Consider the following 17,158-nt stretch of genomic DNA (forward strand, 5'->3'; position numbering starts at 1 on the left):
TAATGAGGAAAGTAACTGACACTGGAACTGAATTTTAAGAGTTAATTGAATTTGAAAACAAGGGGAAAGGGAGCTATTTGATAAGGCAAAGATACTTGACGAAGGGGCCAGGACTATGAGATCCAAAGCACAGGTAGGAAGATTGGCCTTGAACTTGAACAAGGACATCCATTTTACTGAGAGCTATAAGACAGCCCTCTCCTGTAGCTCTTAAAGGCCTTGAGTGGGGGTCCAACAGGGGCACCTACCAAGATCCCCAAGAGTGATTCTCCCTTTTAAATTCAGCGTTCAGTCCTCCCCCAGTACCAAAGAGCCCATAAGATGCAAAAGTGAATGTTACTTAAAAAGAGGTTAAGGGACTCCCCTGGGAATAGCTTTCAAAAATACTTATCACTCATCAAAACTTCGAATGACTCAAAATGAATTTGGTGTGGGCTCAGCATTTTGAAGCAGTTCAGCAGTAAGAGTCTAGAAATTTTTGCCACTAGAGGGCAGTAGTATGTTTCTCCCCTCCCTCTCCTCCCTCTCCTCCCTCTCCTCCGTCTCCCCTCTCCCCTGTCCGCTCTCCCCTCTCTCCCTCGCCTCTCCCTCCCTCCCATTGTTAGCTGATTGAAGCCTGGGAGGCTGGAGATACAGTGAAACACCTTGCTTAAGTTTGTCAATACACCCTGCCTCTGACTGACGGTAGGATGCCAAGGTTCTTGGTTGTTCAGGCAAGCCTACTATACCAGCAGCCTGCTGGGGCCTCCACTGGAACCAAGTCAGTGATGAAACGTTCTACAAACAGAAGACTAAAAAGACTTTCCCCTTTCCTTTAAAACGTGACTGCCTTCTTTTAAAGACATTGAGCTAATAGTTAAGAGTTATTAGAAGATGAAAAATGTAATCTCGTGACAGAAGAGAATCCTAGAAAAATTCCGATTTGAACCCTATGAATAATTTTAGCTCATGTAGAACAATAGGTGTGTTGTGGAATAGTTTATTTCCTGACATAAATTGTAGTTGTCCATAGTTGTTAGGACATAACTCTGCCTAAGTCCTTTTGAAATTATTTTTCTTTAAACATTTATTGAATATATATGTACCAAAAACTGTGTGAGGCACTGGAGATCCAGAGCCAACCATGACATCGAACCTCTGGAGCCTCCAAGCCGGAAGAGGATGATGGGCAAGCCGAAGGTTATGTTTTGCTAGTAAAGGTGTGTACCAAATGCCACTAGAGTGTAGAAGGAAGATGAGTCAGGGAACAGGGGAAGTGAGTTTACCTAATTTAAGGGTGAGGTTTGGGGGCTGGAATTGAACCTTTTGAAGTAGGGAAGAGCTACGTGGTGATGAAGAGAGAGTGGTGAGAAATTTGTAACTTGAGCTTTCAGAGAGGAATTACCCATTTGAAATTTGAGCAATGAGAAATTTGTAGGTTGTGATAGGAGTCTAGCTGCAACAAATGAGGGAAAGACATTCTAGGAAAAGGAGTCATTGACGCACGAAGGCAAGGAGGGCACTGCAGTTTACAGCACCCAGTCCTTCTGGGCAGGGCTGCCAAAGGGTTACCACAATGCACGACCCATTCAAAGAAGAGCAAGAGGCTGGAGCAGAATGAGCTAGGGGAAGGTAGAAGAGGAGACCAGCAAAGTAACAGGGTCCCATCTTGGAAGACCCTGTGTAGTCCCTTGTCAAGAGTTTGACTTTTGGCCAGGCGCAGTGGCTCACGCCTGTAATCCCAGCACTTTGGAGGCTGAGTGGGAGGATCACTTGAGCCCAGCAGTTCGAGAACAGCCTGGGCAACACGACAAAACCCTGTCACTACTAAAACTACAAAAAAATTAGCCAGGTGTAATGCACACCTGGAGTCTCAGCTACTGGGGAGGCTGAGGTGGGAGAAGCCTGGGAGGTCAAGGCTGTAGTGAGCCTTGATCGTGCCACTGCACTCCAGCCTGGGCGACAGAGTGAGACCCTGTCTCAGAAAAAAAAATTTTTGACTTTTACACCAAGTAAAATAGAAGCCCCAGGAGACTGAGCACAGTTGTGACATGATCTGCTCTGTTTTCAAAGGGTCACTCTGGCTTCTGTGTGGAAAACAGATGGTAGGGGAGCCATGATGGGAGAAGGGACACCAGTTTGGAGGCTACTGAAATAATTCAGGTGAGGAATGCTGGTGACTCAGACCAGTGATGAGGGAGAACAACTATGGTCTATATTTTGAAGGTAAAGTTGACGCAATTGATTATGGGCATGAAAAAGAAAAGGTTTGACTCCAGTGTGTTTGATCTGAGCTATTGGAAGAATGCAGTGACCATTTTTGAATGGAGAAGATTAAGATCTAGGAGGGGTGCAATGATGAATTTGTTCTTGAACATGTTAAATTTTCATTTCTTATTAAACATCTGCCTGTTTACTGAGAGTAAGTAGTTAACTATGTGAACCTGGAATTCAGGAGAGGTCTGGGCTGGAGATACAAATTTGGACATTTGTCAAGGTATATATAGCCTGTAGACTTGAGATCCCTTAGGGTAAGCCACTTAGAGGTTGAGAAAAGAAATCACCCAAGGGCTGAGCCCTGAGGCCATCCAGTGTTTAGAGGTCTGTGGGATAAGAAGGGAGCAGAGAAGACCAGAGAGAGCCAAGGGACTCGGGGGGAAACCCCAGAAACCAAGGAGAAGGGAGTGAGCCACTGATGGATTAAGTAAAATGAGTCCTGAGAATTGGATTGGGTTTGGCAACATGGTGATGATTGGTGATCTTGACAAAAACTGTTCTGTAGAATAAGGGGGCAGAAGCCAGCTCAGAGGAAGTTCAAGAGGAAATGGAAGAAGAGGTAGAGACAATGAGTGTAAACAACCCTTTATAGGAGTTTCACTTGCGATGAGGAGCATAAAAACAGGTGGTAGCCAGGCATTAGAGATAGAGGATCAAGAAGAGATTTTCTTTTGGAGGGCAATATTACAATCTGTTTCTCTTCTGATGGGAATACTCCCTCAGAGAGGAAAAGTTTGGTATTGCAGGAGAGAGGATAATTGCAGGAACCATGTCCTTAGGTAGGCGGTAGGCGTGGCCTCGCCGGAGTGTTTGGACAGTTCCCTCATTGTAACCGGAGGGAAGCTGAGCACCGGGAAGAGAAGCAGGTAGTACGAGGAGCAGCACAGGGGAGTCCTCTTCTGATTGCTTCTATTTTCTCAACGAAATAGGAAGTAAGATTATTAAGAGTGGGAATAGGGGAGAAGATGTTGGCATTTAAGGCAAAAGAACTTGAGAAAAAGGATAAGAAATAGTTTTATAGGAAAGTGGCAGTCTGAAGGATAGGGAAACTGCCTGTTTTATTTTCTGTCAAACTGGACTAATAATGTTACCTGTGGACTCTCTACCAACCCCCCCGACTGAGGACAACTTGAAAAGCCAAATAAATCTTAAAACGAGGCTTAGTGCAGTAGCTCACACCTGTAATCCCAGCACTTTGGGAGGCCGAGGCAAGCGTATCACCTGAGGTCAGGAGTTCAAGACCAGCCTGACCAACATGACAAAACCCCATTTCTACTAAAAATACAAAATTAGCACGGCATGGTGGCACGCGCCTGTAATCCCAGCTATTTGGGAGGCTGAGGCAGGAGAATTGCTTGAACCCAGGAGGCAGAGGTTGCAGTGAGCCAAGATTGCACGACTGCACTCTAGCCTGGGCAACAAGAGCAAAACTGTATCTCAAAAAGAAAAAAAAAAAAGAAAAAGAAAGAAAAAGAAAAAAAATCTTAAAAAGAAAAATCTTTTAAAAGCATTGAAGAACCAAAAGCCTAGTGAAGGATGACCAGACCAAAATCTAGGAGGAATGAACCCAAAGAAGTAAACTGCCCAGCATTCCAGGCTACCTTGACCTGAAGGCGTTTGTTAATAAGGAAGAAACATCCAGGACACTGAGTTCCTCAACTGTGCCTGGAGGGGAGCATCGAAATCAGCCACCCACCTGCACTCCCAGTCCTTTTAGGCTCACCTTCAATTCATATGTCTATGGGATGCTCTAGGAAGAGGAACAAGGCAGAGCCTCTGCCTTATAATCTGCTGGGTTTGAGGAAGGAGAAGCCAGGCAGTTGTCCCTGGAGATTGGGTTGTTTGTTTTATCTTATCCGCCTTAGGAAGCAGAAAGCAGTATGGTAAAAGGAGAGGACCCCCGATGAGGAAGGAAAAGAAGGCTGTGTATGGTAGCTCACGCCTGTAACTCAGCACTTCAGGAGGCTGTGGTGGGAGGACTGCTTGAGGCCAGGAGTTTGAGACCAGCCTGGACAGCATAGTGAGACCCTGATTCTACAAAAAATAATAAATTAGCCAAGCGTGGTGGCTCACACCTATAGTCCTAGCTACTCCGAAGGCCGAGGCAGGAGAATTGCTTGAGCTATAACTTCAGCTGCAGTGAGCTATGATCATGCCTCTGCACTCCAGCCTAGGCAACAGACTGAGACCTTGTCTCTAAAAATGAAGAAGATAGACGCAGAATGGGAGCAGCAGTAGGGTCGTTCAGGGATTCTTCATGCAGAACTCCAACCACAGCACAGTTCTGCTAACTTCTGGGAGCAGGGAGCTACAGAGAGCAGCAGTCCCCACCTAGCACCCCAAGATCGTATATGCGATACTGCACTTCAGAGGTCCCCTGTCCTCACAGGGAGGTATCAGCTTAGCCCCTCCACATTGTTCTAGCCTCATCACCCACCACTTCCTGCTTCCCAGCTCACACTGTTCCAGCACCAAAATGGGTAGGTGGCTCAATTGGCTGATGGGGAAGAGAAATAGACTGGGCCACGGGAGCCAGAGGGACAAAGAATGTACACATGTGGGGTGTACATGCAAATGGAGAAGGGGGAAGATGTGAAGCTGGCATTGTTTGTAAGAGTGCAAGGATCTATGGGTACATGTGTCACTGTGTGACCAGTGAGAGGGGTTATATATCATAGGGGTTACTGTCTGGGTGGCCCCTAGCCCTCTCTGCTGGAGTCCCACCCCACTTGACTATGCAGCCAAGCTAACATAATGGAGACCAGCAGAAAGCCCTGCACTCCTGGGCTTAGCAAAAGGCACTTCAGGTGAGAAAGAGCAGCCAGCTGAGCCCTGTAGGGCCAAAGCATCACCCACCTCCTATTCCCAGTCAAGGCAGGCGGCATCACTGAGGAGACAGCCTGCTGAGGCTTTGGACTGTCAGTGTTCTTCAGGGCAAGGAGCAAAAACCAACTCTGGCTACTTACATAAAAGGTGTTTATGGAAGGATATATGGAGGTTCAGATAGTCTGCAGAAAGTCAGAGGCCTAGGCTTGAAGAATAGGCAGACAGCAGGGGTTTTAGAGGCCAGGCCACAGAAACCCCTGGACAGGGGCCACTTCCAGACAGCCCCATTGCTGGACCACCCCAGACCTGTTCTTAGTGTCCCCTTGCTTTACAGCCTCATGTAAGCTTTGAAGTTTGTGTTTAGGTGAACAGTGTCTGTTGCATATTCACTGTATGATCTTGGGCCACAACTATAACATCTCTTTCTGAGCCTCAATTTTTTCATCTGAAAAATGGGATAATTATACACCTATTACAGAGTGGTTATGAAGATTGAATAGGTTGTCCCACATGGCATCACTAGGCCCGACCAGCTGAGGCTCAGACCATCCTTCCTTCCGGAACAGTTTGTCCTGTTGGACTGGAGTCTGGGGCAGAGGAGTCTAGGACTTCACTCACAATCACCACTTGGCTCCAGCCTTACTCAACACCTTCCAGTCTACCACGACTTTTGTAAGTGGAGGGTAGTTGCCGCATGTCCTGTGAAGACTATATATCTCTCTACACCTCAGGCTCTTCTCATTCAGCTTAGCAATAACACCCTTATAGGTCAAGCCCTTCTAAAATGCCAGGCACTCTGCTAATCACACTGCAAACATCATCTCATGTATTTCTCATAACAAACTGAGGGAGGTAGTAGCATCACTCGCATTTTCAGGTGAGGAAACTGAGCCTCAGAGAGGCTAAGGGGCTTCCCCACGGTTATTCGAAACAAAAGCTTGCACTCCTAACCACTAGGCGATACCACCTCTAACAATGGCTGGTTGAGTCCGCCTGTGGGCCCAGCCCTCACCACTTCAGCTTAGAATACGAAGCCAACCATTCCTGAGAGCCAGTGCCCACTGGAAATGTTACAGGGATCCTTCACTCCCCTGCAGAGCTTGGGGGGCCTCTTCTTCCACAGCTTGGTATAAGGTTGTTGCCCAGGCTGGGTGAGTTTCGCTGGAGCTCTGGGCTGCCCCACAAGGGTCTGCAGCTGACTGGGACCTCAGAAGCCTGGCCAGGCCACCCTCCTGGCTCACAGTAAGCAGCACCAGAGGAGGAGGAAGTCATGGCCTTGAGGTTACCCTCTGCCTGGGGTAGGGGCAAGGGTGGGCTGCAGCTTCCAGGAGCTGTGCAGGACCAGCTTTTTTCGGCACTGTCCACAGCACAGTCCCTGAAGACGTCAGGACTGAGAAGAAAACTGGAGACTGCTGGAAGCCTCCCAAAGACATGTCAGGCAGGGATGTTCTCCTGAAAGGGCACCCGTGTGACGCAATCCGCAGTTCCCTCTGGGCATTCAGGGCCTCAGCACTCTTCAGACCAATACTGGGAAATGGCAACTCTGTTTGTGGAGAAAAGAAGGAAGCAGCTCTCACCTGGCTCCAGTAGAGATGGCACATTTTATTTTGCCCCTTTGATGAAATGTTTCCAAGAAACACAAAGTGAAACATGCTGAGGGTTTGGTATTTTTCCACTTGACAAACATCTGTGATTTCAAAGGCACATGGTGCTTCTCACATACTTTATTCCTTTCCTTCTTTCTTCACCCACATTCACTGTCAGCCTAGCTCAGGAAGAGGGTATTGAAGATCACCTGTGCATATGCAGCTCAAAGTGCATTTCTGGTGTTGTGGGGAGGCCCAAGGGAGACGGCCTGAAGAGGTGCAGCAGCCTCATTCACCCAGAGCCCATGGCTTATTGTTCACGGGCCAGCAAAGTATCTTGAAAAGTGACAGCAGGGAGCAGAATACTCCTTGGCCTCTCCAGGAGCCAGTGGATGCCGGAAGAGACCTTGGTTGATACGGTTCCTGATCTCCCAGCAACACTGGAAGAGCAAAGGCTGCAGAAAGCACAGCCACAGCCACTCAGCACACCTTAGCCACACAGTGATGCTTCCCAGAGCTTTCACTTTCTTGGACTTAAGAACTACAAAACTCCTCCTAAATGAAACTAGACATTTTTAATCATCTAGCTTGAGGGGGACCTAGAGATCGTTTCTGGGGGTACTTTGCAAATTCAAAAACTGCAAAGGGGGGAGGGGCTTTTAAAAAAGTCATGCAACATTTGTTTGTTTACAAATCACATTGGTAATCATTAGTGCTGAGTTACTGTAGGATTTACAATGATTCATTGTATTTAGTCCCTACCATCCAGAAGCTATCAATATATTGTCATTTCTACTTTGCTCTCAGGCTGCTTTGAAGCAGGAAAATTATCTAGAAAGAGCTTCATTCCATTTAGTCTTTTTGTCAATAATTTTAAAATCTGGTTTTTGTTGGTGAAAGTGACTCATTTAACAGTTAAGCTAAAGACATTTTTGGCTGGAGTGAGTGTAGCCATTATGGGTTTAATTCAATTTGACAAGCATTGATTGAGCATCTGTTCTATGGCAAGGACGAGGATAGGCACCAGAGGTGCAGAGGTGACTGAAAGATGGCACCTGTTCTCAAGAATATCACAGCAGTCTAAACGTACCCAAGCTGGAAGGTGGACTCTGTGCTATAGAACAGGCCTAATGTGCTGTGGGCAGAGAGAGTTGGAAATTAGGAAAGCTTCATGAAGAAGGTGGCATCAGAGAGTTAAAACACTGCCTGCAACCCCTTCTATCTATGGGTCCTATCTTTCTTTTTCTCTTCCAAATCTAGCCTGTTTATTAATTCATGTAATCATGTAATTCACACATTTGCCAAATAGTCATTAAGCCCATGATGTCCCAGGCACAGTTCTAGACATGGGAGACACACTGGTAAGACAATTTGTGTACTTTTAGTAGGGCAGGGATGGATGACGATAACCTACAAATGAATAAACAAATAGAATGTCAATTGTAATGGGTATTGCAAATAAAAGTAAAATAGTGTGAGGGGTGCAAACAGTGAGTGTGGATGGGGAAGGCATGTGTATCCTGTATTAAACATAGTGTTAAGGAAGGCTGTCTAAAATGGAGATACTTGTGCAGACACCTGAATGGAGGGACAGAGGGAGCCATGGGAGTTCTGGGCTGACAGTATTCTTGGCAGAGGGAAGGAGTGGCAAGCACAAAGACCCTGAGGCAAAAACACATGTGATGGCCCAGGATGGCAGGAGGACCACGATGAGCAGAAGGATGGGGAGAGCTAGGCTGGAAAGACAAGCAGGGGCCAGATCATGAAGGCCAAGGTAAGGAGTATGGATTTTTTTTTTTCTAAGGGTGGTAGGAAGCTACTAGAAGCTTTGAAGGGAGTCATATGATCTAATTTGTATTTTTGAAGATTATTATGGCTTTGGGGTTTAGAATAAACTTTAAGAGATCAAGAAGGGAAACAAAGAGAACTTGAGAAATATTTCCCATTTGAGAAATGAAAAACACAGTTGACATTTCTGATATAGGGAAAATAGAGGAGTAAATTTGGGGAAGGAGGACTTCATGGACTCAATGTTGGTCATAAGTGTAAAATGCTCACTAGCTATCTGAGTGGGGATTTTGAACAGGCAGTAGGATATTTGAGTCTGAAGTTCAGGAAGTAGTCAAGAATACCCATTCCACCCAGAAGGCAAATTAGATAAGGACTAACAATAGTTCTTTAATATTCAATACCCAGGAAGTTATTAGAACCTTTTTTTTTTTGCCATAGTAACATTCATAGAATGACAGAGAGGTAAAAGCCAAATTGTCGAGGTGAAGATAATGAGTATAGATTATTCTTTCAAAAGAATCAGATTTCAGCTTTGTTAATTCTATTTTTCTTTGCTTTCTACTTCATTAATTTCTACTGTTTATTATTTACCTCCTTCTATTGTCTTTAAGGTTTCTGTTCATTTTCTTAAGGTGGAGACTTACCTGATTAATTTCTTCTTTCCTAATACAAGTATTTAAGGCTTGTACAAATTTGTTTGAAAGGTTTCTTTCAAGTATTTGCTTCTAATGTTGAATTTGTTTCAAATATTTGGAAAAAAGGTCAAATATTACATATGCTGCTTTCAATAAGCTTTGATATGTAGTGATTTCACTATCACTTACTTCTAAGTATTTTTAAATTTTCGTGATGAATTCATCTTTGACCCTGCCTCCTGTCTTTATTTCAAAAAGGATGCAATTGCAAAGATGAGTTTACTGCAGAAAACCAACAAAAATGACAGATTTGAATAACAAACAAATGGAAATTCTAGGAATGAAAAATATAACCACCAAAATGAAAAACACAGTCAATAGATTAAACAAAAGATTAGACACATTGAAAGAGAATGTTTCCAGAGTGCAGGAAATAAATATAAGAATAAAGAAAAATGAAGGAGAAGTTAAGAGCAAAGATGTTAAAAAGTCAGAATTAAATTATTCTAAACAATACTCTGAGTTCAGGGCAGGAGCACTGGAGCTAAATCTTAGGAGAGGAATGAAGATATGGATTGACTGCAAGACTTTATGATAAACACGTACAGTCAACTTTGCAGTAACCACTAAAAGAATAAAAACAGCATGTAAACATTCCCAATCTGTAGAGAGAGAACACAATGAAGTGAAAGAAATAGCTTGGTAATTTTTATAAAAGGCAAGAATGAGGAAAGACAGGAATGATCAGGCTAAGGTGAAACAGTGATGTGCTGTTTATGTGAGGCATAACTAAGTGATAAGAATATGGAAAAGTTAAGTGTCCCATCCCACACAAATTGAGGGGTTCAACATAAAAGAGACATGATCAGACTTGTGCTGTAGGAAGGTGATACTGACTGCAACCACCTGTAACATGGGATGTGCACTGTAGGAGGACAAGATGGAGGCCTGGGCTTGGGAGCTTTGAGCTAGCTTGGGCCTGCTCTAAGGCTGTGGCAGTGGCAGTGGGGATAGGCTGGGTGGGCTGCGGAGATGAAAAGGCCGTTTCAGTTATGCTGAGATAAAGTTAAAATGACAGCCACTGGCCTCTGGTCTCAAACAGGGAAATCAAAACCTGGCCTGCATTGTGAACCCAACATCAAGGGTTTGGGAATTGTGTAAGTCTGACCTTTGTTCACTTCCAAGTGATGTCATCAGTTCACGGGGCCTCTGAGCCTCCTAATCCTGCCGTTGAGGCAGGTGGCTGTCAAGCTGTCATGTTGAAAACCTGCTTCTGGAGTTGTTGTTTGGGGCTCTGCTCCTTCAGAAAGTAGAGAGAAACTCACACGGTATCTGAAAACTACCAACCCTCATGTTATTCCAATAAAAATAATCTCTTCCACTTAAATAAAGCTTGCTTGGTTCAGATGTTTGCTCTCACAAGTTCTTCACAACTTGCCATGTGAGGAGATGCTATTATTTTATTAGGCTGTGCGGATATTATTTTTCACATTTCTTTTTACTGAGAGGAGACAGAGATCCAGAGAGTTGATATGGTTTGCCCAAGCTCACCCAGTGTCAGTGGCAGAGCTGAGAGTGCAAACCAGGTTGTCTGGTGTGGGCTCAGGCTCTCTGTGCTGTCAGGTTTGAACTCGTTTTGGTAATAGGAGGGAGTCAGGAGAATAGAAACTGGCCAACTCCAGCCTATATTTTCATCCTCTGCCACCCACTAGTCTTCCTCCTTCTTTATGTAAAGAGTGTTTTTTCCCCCAACAAATAAGAAAATTTTGGGATAAATATAAAACCCTGCATTTAGATTTTAACAGTAGGTTTCTCAAGTTTAAGCTGGAGGAGGCAGTTCCTGAGAAAATGAACAATATCCAAATAATCGTAGTTGCTAAAAGAGAAAATAGAGGCAGAAAATAAATTTAAAAAAAATTCCCAGAACTAAGAAAAACATGATTTTACAAATTGAAAGGACTCTCCAGTAGCTATCACAGAAAAAAAAAATAGACTACATATCTGAAACTGTGGCATTTCTGAACACTATGAACAAAGAAATTTGGAATGCTTCTAGAGAGAGTAGGGGGATAAAAAGGTCATATAAAAATGATCAGGAATCGAATGGATTTGGATTTCTCAAAAGTAACCCTGGAAGCAAGAACATGTGGACCATTGCTTTCAATATTCCATGGGAAAATGATATTCAACCTAGAATTTGTATTCAGCCAAATTATCAAGCGTGTAAGGAGCATAAAGACATTTTCAAGGCCAGCACGGTGGCTCACGCCTGTAATCCTAGTACTTTGGGAGGCCGAGGAGGGTGGATCCCCTGAGGTCAGGAATTCGAGACCAGCCTGACCAATATGGTGAAACCCCCTCTCTACTAACAATACAAAAATTAGACGGGAGTGGTGGTGCACGCCTGTAGTCCCAGCAACTCGAGAGGCTGAGGCGAGAGGATCACCTGAGCTGGGGAGGTCGTGGCTGCAGTGAGCTGTGATCAGGCCACCGTACTTCAGCCTGGGAGCCAGAGCAAGATCCTATCTATCAATAAATAAATAAATAAATAAATGACATTTTCAGACAAGCAAGGTCTTAAAAAATTTACCACCTAATGAGAGATGGCTACACTAAGATCAGTATTTAGCTGAAGCAATGAGTCACCATTGAATGAATGAATGAAATGGAATGAAACCCCAAGACACATGAGTAAACTAGAAAATTTATTTTTAAGGCTTACTTATTAATATAATTTTATTATTAAAAGAGGTCAGTTTTTAAAATTTGTCATTAGAAGTCACTAATAATAATTTGTCATCACTTCAATCTGCTGGATTACTCCTGTGTCATTACATTTGTCGTATAAATAGAAACTTTGGACTGAGGTTGGTGAGGACACAAGCTGTTTTTTAGTATCTTCTTGCCAGTACAAGGCACACTAGTGGTGATGTTGCTCCCAAATAATTAATCTTTTCTTTTCTCCGCAGTAACTAAGGTAATGTTTATTTCCCTTTCAACTCCTACTTGCAGATTTGATTGCTGGTAAAGATGCTGTTTGAAGCATATTGAAGTTTTGTGCTATCTGAATGTTTCAGAAGGAAATTTCCGATTTTTGCCCTCACATAGATTGTGTATTTCTTTAATCCTTGGATAAACAAGGATGTAAATAAAGTAATGTAACTAGATTTCAGAATAGCAAAATCTATAAATTTCCATCTGTATTCAAGATTTCATTGCATGCATATCAGTGTCAGCATCTTTTCTTAAGTAGAATGAAAGGTGGGTCTTTCAATAAGGATAATTCAAGAAAAAGTTATCCTCTCAAGATCCATGATTTTGATTACTTCTCCAGCAGAGTCCAGCATATGAATTGATTTCTCTCCAGTCAACCTTTGGGCATTAGCAAATCTTGCTAACAAGTTATCATTATTATTACCTGAAGCATACAATATTAAGGTATTTTTAAAAATCAAGCTGTTTTTTAATATGTGACGGCTGCTGTTCCATCTTGTTTTCACATCTCATGTAAGTAAATAACAAAACAATTTCAAAGCCATGCAGTTTCTCTTTAAAGCAGAATGATGAGAATGGCTCACTATCTTCATGCTTTGGCCTGTAATTCAGTTAAAATATACTGTTATAATTATATTTTAAATATGCAACTTAAGGATGTGTACAGAATGTTTTGCTTGTGATTCCTAAATCACTCGTTACCTTCACCACGTTTTTCCCATGGTCAGTCTATAGATCTGTTTTCTACTTTATGAGTATGTCTATCAGTTTCACCATTCTCTTGGTCAAACTGCCTTACCCTGATCTCCCACCTCATTTCTTTGCAAGCATTCATCATTAATCCATTGTATTCTCGCTTTGTCACCCAGGCTGGAGTGCAATGACACAATCTCAACTCACTGCAACCCCTGCCCCCCATGTTCAAACGATTCTCCTGCCTCAGCCTCCCGAGTAGCCTGTAGCTGGGACTACAGGCACATGCCATCACACCCAGCAAATTTTTGTATTTTTAGTAGAGACAAGGTTTCACCATGTTGACCAGGCTGGTCTCAAACTCCTGACCTCAAGGGATCCACCCTCCTTGGCCTCCCAAAGTGCTGGGATGACAGGCCTGAGCCACCTCTCTCGGGAGTGACAATCTTTAAGAACAAAGTCTCTTTCTGCACATCCAAATGACTAATGTTCAGGATACAGAAGTAGCACATTAAATAACATTATTAAAGTTTATACTTCTGGGAATGCTTTTTGCAGACCAACCCCTGCACCAAAAAAAAAAAAAAGTTATAAGAGCAAGACAAAAGACAAAAATAAATCTCTTTGAAGACATTACATAGCTATTAATAGATACAGAGTCAGTTAGAGTTAGGTGGCCAGACTTGAGTGGCGAGAATATCAGAGCAAATAAATACATTTTGAGATAAACCCAGAATTCTGCAGGGCTTTTTCCTTGAGGCATTTGGCAATTTAAAAGCAGCACAGGGCTGAGAAGCTAGGAAGCTGGGCAGCAGCAGACACTTAAATAAGGCTAGAAAGCTGAGCAGAGCTTTCAGCAGTCTAACAAGCCTAAGGAAACAAAAATTAGAGTTCAGGGTTCACCAAGAAAAGGCCCCAGTAAACAATCTAGACCTCCCATTAAGACACCCAGAAGCCTAAAACGGTGAAACCCCGTCTCTACTAAAAATACAAAAAATTAGCCGGGCGTAGTGGCGGGCGCCTGTAGTCCCAGCTACTTGGGAGGCTGAGGCAGGAGAATGGCGTGAACCCGGGAGGCGGAGCTTGCAGTGAGCCGAGATCCCGCCACTGCACTCCAGCCTGGGCGACAGAGCGAGACTCCGTCTCAAAAAAAAAAAAAAAAAAAGACACCCAGAAGCTATACTCTAAGAGGTAAGGTAAACCAGAAATAAAAGGTGTTCACAAAAGACTAAAACCTAGTCCTGAACCAGTGTAATCCCAATGTGATTAATAGGGGTTAATATGATCTGCTCCGTCTCTACCTCCCTACCAGAGAGTTATACAGCAGAAGAGAGAATTCATCACCAGGAAGACAGACTAACTGAAAATATCCATCCTAAAGTTCAGGGAGAAGGGAAAAAAAGAGATGGAAAGTACAGAAAAGACCATGAGACATATGTGATACAGTGATGAGGTCTAATATATAACAATATGTAATAGTCTCAGAAAAACAAAAAGAGAATGGGGCAGAAGCAATATTTTAAGAGCTACTAACCAAGAATTTTCTAAAACTGTGAAAAAAAAATTCAGTTAACAGATTCAAAAGTTCTGTGAGGCTGGGCGTGGTGGCTCATGCCTGTAATCCCAGCACTTTGGGAGACCAAGTCAGGTGAATCACTTGAGGTCAGGAGTTCAAGACCAGCCTGGCCAACATGATGAAACCCTGTCTCTACTAAAAAATACAAAAATTAGCTGGACATGGTGGCATATGGCTGTAGCCCCAGCTACTTGGGAGGCTGAGGCAGGAGAATCGCTTGAACCCAGGAGGCAGAGGTTGCAGTGAGCTGAAATCACGGCACTGCACTCCAGCCTGGTGACAGAGCCAGACTCTGTCTCAAAAAAATAAATAAACATAAATTAAAAATTAAAGGAAAAAAAAGTGGGATTTCCTGGGCTATTATGATGGTGACGAATTTCAAGTGGTTGTGGCAGTATCGCTTTCCCGCCCTTTACATTACAGCTGAACGTGGCCACTTGGCAGAAGCAGCTGGCCACCTGGTGTTTGTTGGTTCTGTCCATCTGCTGCCTGCACAGACAGTCAAGCATGATGGTTATGGATGCTCAGGAGATCCTGCTCTTCAGCAACATCAAGCTGTGGAAGCTTCCTGTGGGATCAATCCAGGTTGTATTAGAGGAACTGAGGAAGAATGGGAACTTACAGTGGCTGGATAAGAGCAAGTCTAGTTTCCTAATCATGTGGCGGAGGCCAGAAGAATGGGGAAAACTCATCTATCAGTGGGTCTCCAGGAGTGGCCAGAACAACTCCGTACTTAGCCTGTATGAGCTGACCAATGGGGAAGACATAGAGAATGAGGTGTTCCACGGACTAAAGGAGGCCTTCTGTGGGCTCTGCAGGCCCTTCAGTAGGAACATAAGGCTGAGATCATCACCATCTCACTCGGAGACCAGTGATGGCTGAGGTGTCAGGTCCATCTGTCAGAGACCTGCTTCCTTTTACTTTCTATCTCCCACCTTTCCAGGGCTTTCAGGAGGAGACAGACTCGGTGGACCCACACATTGAACCTGTGAATCCACCAGACTCAAAAGGGCTCCAGTCCTGAAGCCTGGGACCCAGGGGTGGGTTTCTCATACACAACATGTCTGTCCCTGGGACAGGGTGAGGCTGAGGCACTCCAGAGAAAAATGCTTCTTCAAAGCTTGCCTACTTCCTTTCCTATCCTAGACTGCTTCTGAGCCAGGGTCTGTAAACCTAACACTTTATGTGTGTTCACATATGTAAGTTCATACACACATGCACCTGCACATGCTTCTGTCTCCTCCATCTTCTATCCCCTTAGCTGCTGTTGCCTCCCTTCTCAGGCTGCTGCTGGATCTTTCCTAGGGAATGTGGGAAGCCTGGCTGCAGGCAGCCATCCAAGCAATAGAAAGATAGGAGGCCCATGGGCCTGGCACTGACAGGCAGGGCCCAACATTGATTTATGTTATTAAAATCTCAACTGCCCCCACTTCAGACAATAAAAACTGAGCTATATGCTGCTCACAATAAATTCAGTTGAAATATAATGATTAGAAATGTAAAAAGTAGTAAGAAGGAATAAGGTACGCCATGGAAATACTAATCAAAAGAAAGCAGATATAACTATATTAACATCCAAAGCATGACAAATCATATCTCCATTGCATAAAAGAATATAATCAGGAGTGTTTTTAAATATCTTTTTATTTAATTTAATCTGGAATTCATAGCTTGAACAAATCTCAAAAATCCATCATCTTTTTTTTTTTTTTTTTTTTGAGACAGTCTCACTCTGTCGCCCATGCTGGAGTGCAGTGGCACGATCTCAGCTCACTGCAACCCCCATCTCCTGGGTGCAAGCAATCCTCCTGCCTCCGCCTCCTGAGTAGCTGGGATTACAGGCACCCGCCATGACGCCCGGCTAATTTTTGTATTTTTTATTAGAGACAGGGTTTCACCATATTGGTCAGGCTGATCTTGAACCCCTGAACTCAGGTGATCCACCCTCCTCGGCCTCCCAAAGTGCTGGGATTACAGGCATGAGCCACCTCACCCAGCTAAAAATCCATCATCTTTAATTACTGAAAATTTATCATAGTCTATTGCAACTCTTTGAACAAGTATATTATTTACATTTTTATCCTCCAAAGACTCAAAACTAAAAAAACTTAAAGAACTCTTGTGATGTCTGTTACTTTGATATTTTATCAGCAAGAAAAATATGTGTTTTGTTTACCTCAGTTTTTTCTAAAATTGTGAAATGTATTATTTGTATCTTTGTTATGTCTACATTGAAGATGATTAATCATGGATGATGTTGTACATGGTTTTGGAGTTTTTTCTTTTCATGAAATGTTGAGAGGGCAAAGCATATCCTCACAAGCTGTGACAAATTTTTTTGAAATACCTTCGGCCTAAAGGGAAATAACAAAAAGTTAAATATAGTTATTAAAGTTTATTTTGTTAGTGTTTTGAGTGCTAGTACCTCAAACAATTCTATAATGATGTGAATTATGATATAATCTAATCTTTGTTATTCTTTCTTGTATCATTTAGTTTTTAATTAACATTTTATTCAAAAAGGATATGAAGTTCTTCCTATGTTTATGTCACGAATCCACTCTTTTTTAACCTTCAAATCAACACTCTGTTTCCTATATATTCAGCTATTTGGCTGTTTTTAATAATTGTTTTCATATGTAAAATTGCTCATTACTTTTTATAGCATTTCAATTTTTTTAATAGTTTGAGGGGGTACCGATGCAGGTTCGCTTCATGGATATGTTGTGTAATGGTGAAGTTTGGGTTTCCAGCGTGTCCATCACCCCGATAGTAAACACTGTACCCAACAGGTAATTTTT

At 43.1% G+C, this 17,158-nt stretch overlaps 1 pseudogene, besides 2 other annotated features; it reads left to right on the top strand.

Annotated features, from left to right (window-relative positions):
- Positions 384-453: a silencer, noted in NCBI's record as "silent region_1240". NCBI's record gives its function as "represses an Ori minimal core promoter by ATAC-STARR-seq in GM12878 lymphoblastoid cells {active_cell/tissue: GM12878}" and the evidence as "EXISTENCE:reporter gene assay evidence [ECO:0000049][PMID:35858748]".
- Positions 474-713: a silencer, noted in NCBI's record as "silent region_1241". NCBI's record gives its function as "represses an Ori minimal core promoter by ATAC-STARR-seq in GM12878 lymphoblastoid cells {active_cell/tissue: GM12878}" and the evidence as "EXISTENCE:reporter gene assay evidence [ECO:0000049][PMID:35858748]".
- On the top strand, positions 14,703-15,421 carry VPS25P1 (VPS25 pseudogene 1; annotated as a pseudogene).
- Positions 15,422-17,158: the final 1,737 nt, after the last annotated feature.

The sequence above is a fragment of the Homo sapiens genome, chromosome 1, assembly GCF_000001405.40.
Source record: "Homo sapiens chromosome 1, GRCh38.p14 Primary Assembly".
In the NCBI taxonomy this organism is placed as follows: Eukaryota; Metazoa; Chordata; class Mammalia; order Primates; family Hominidae; genus Homo; species Homo sapiens.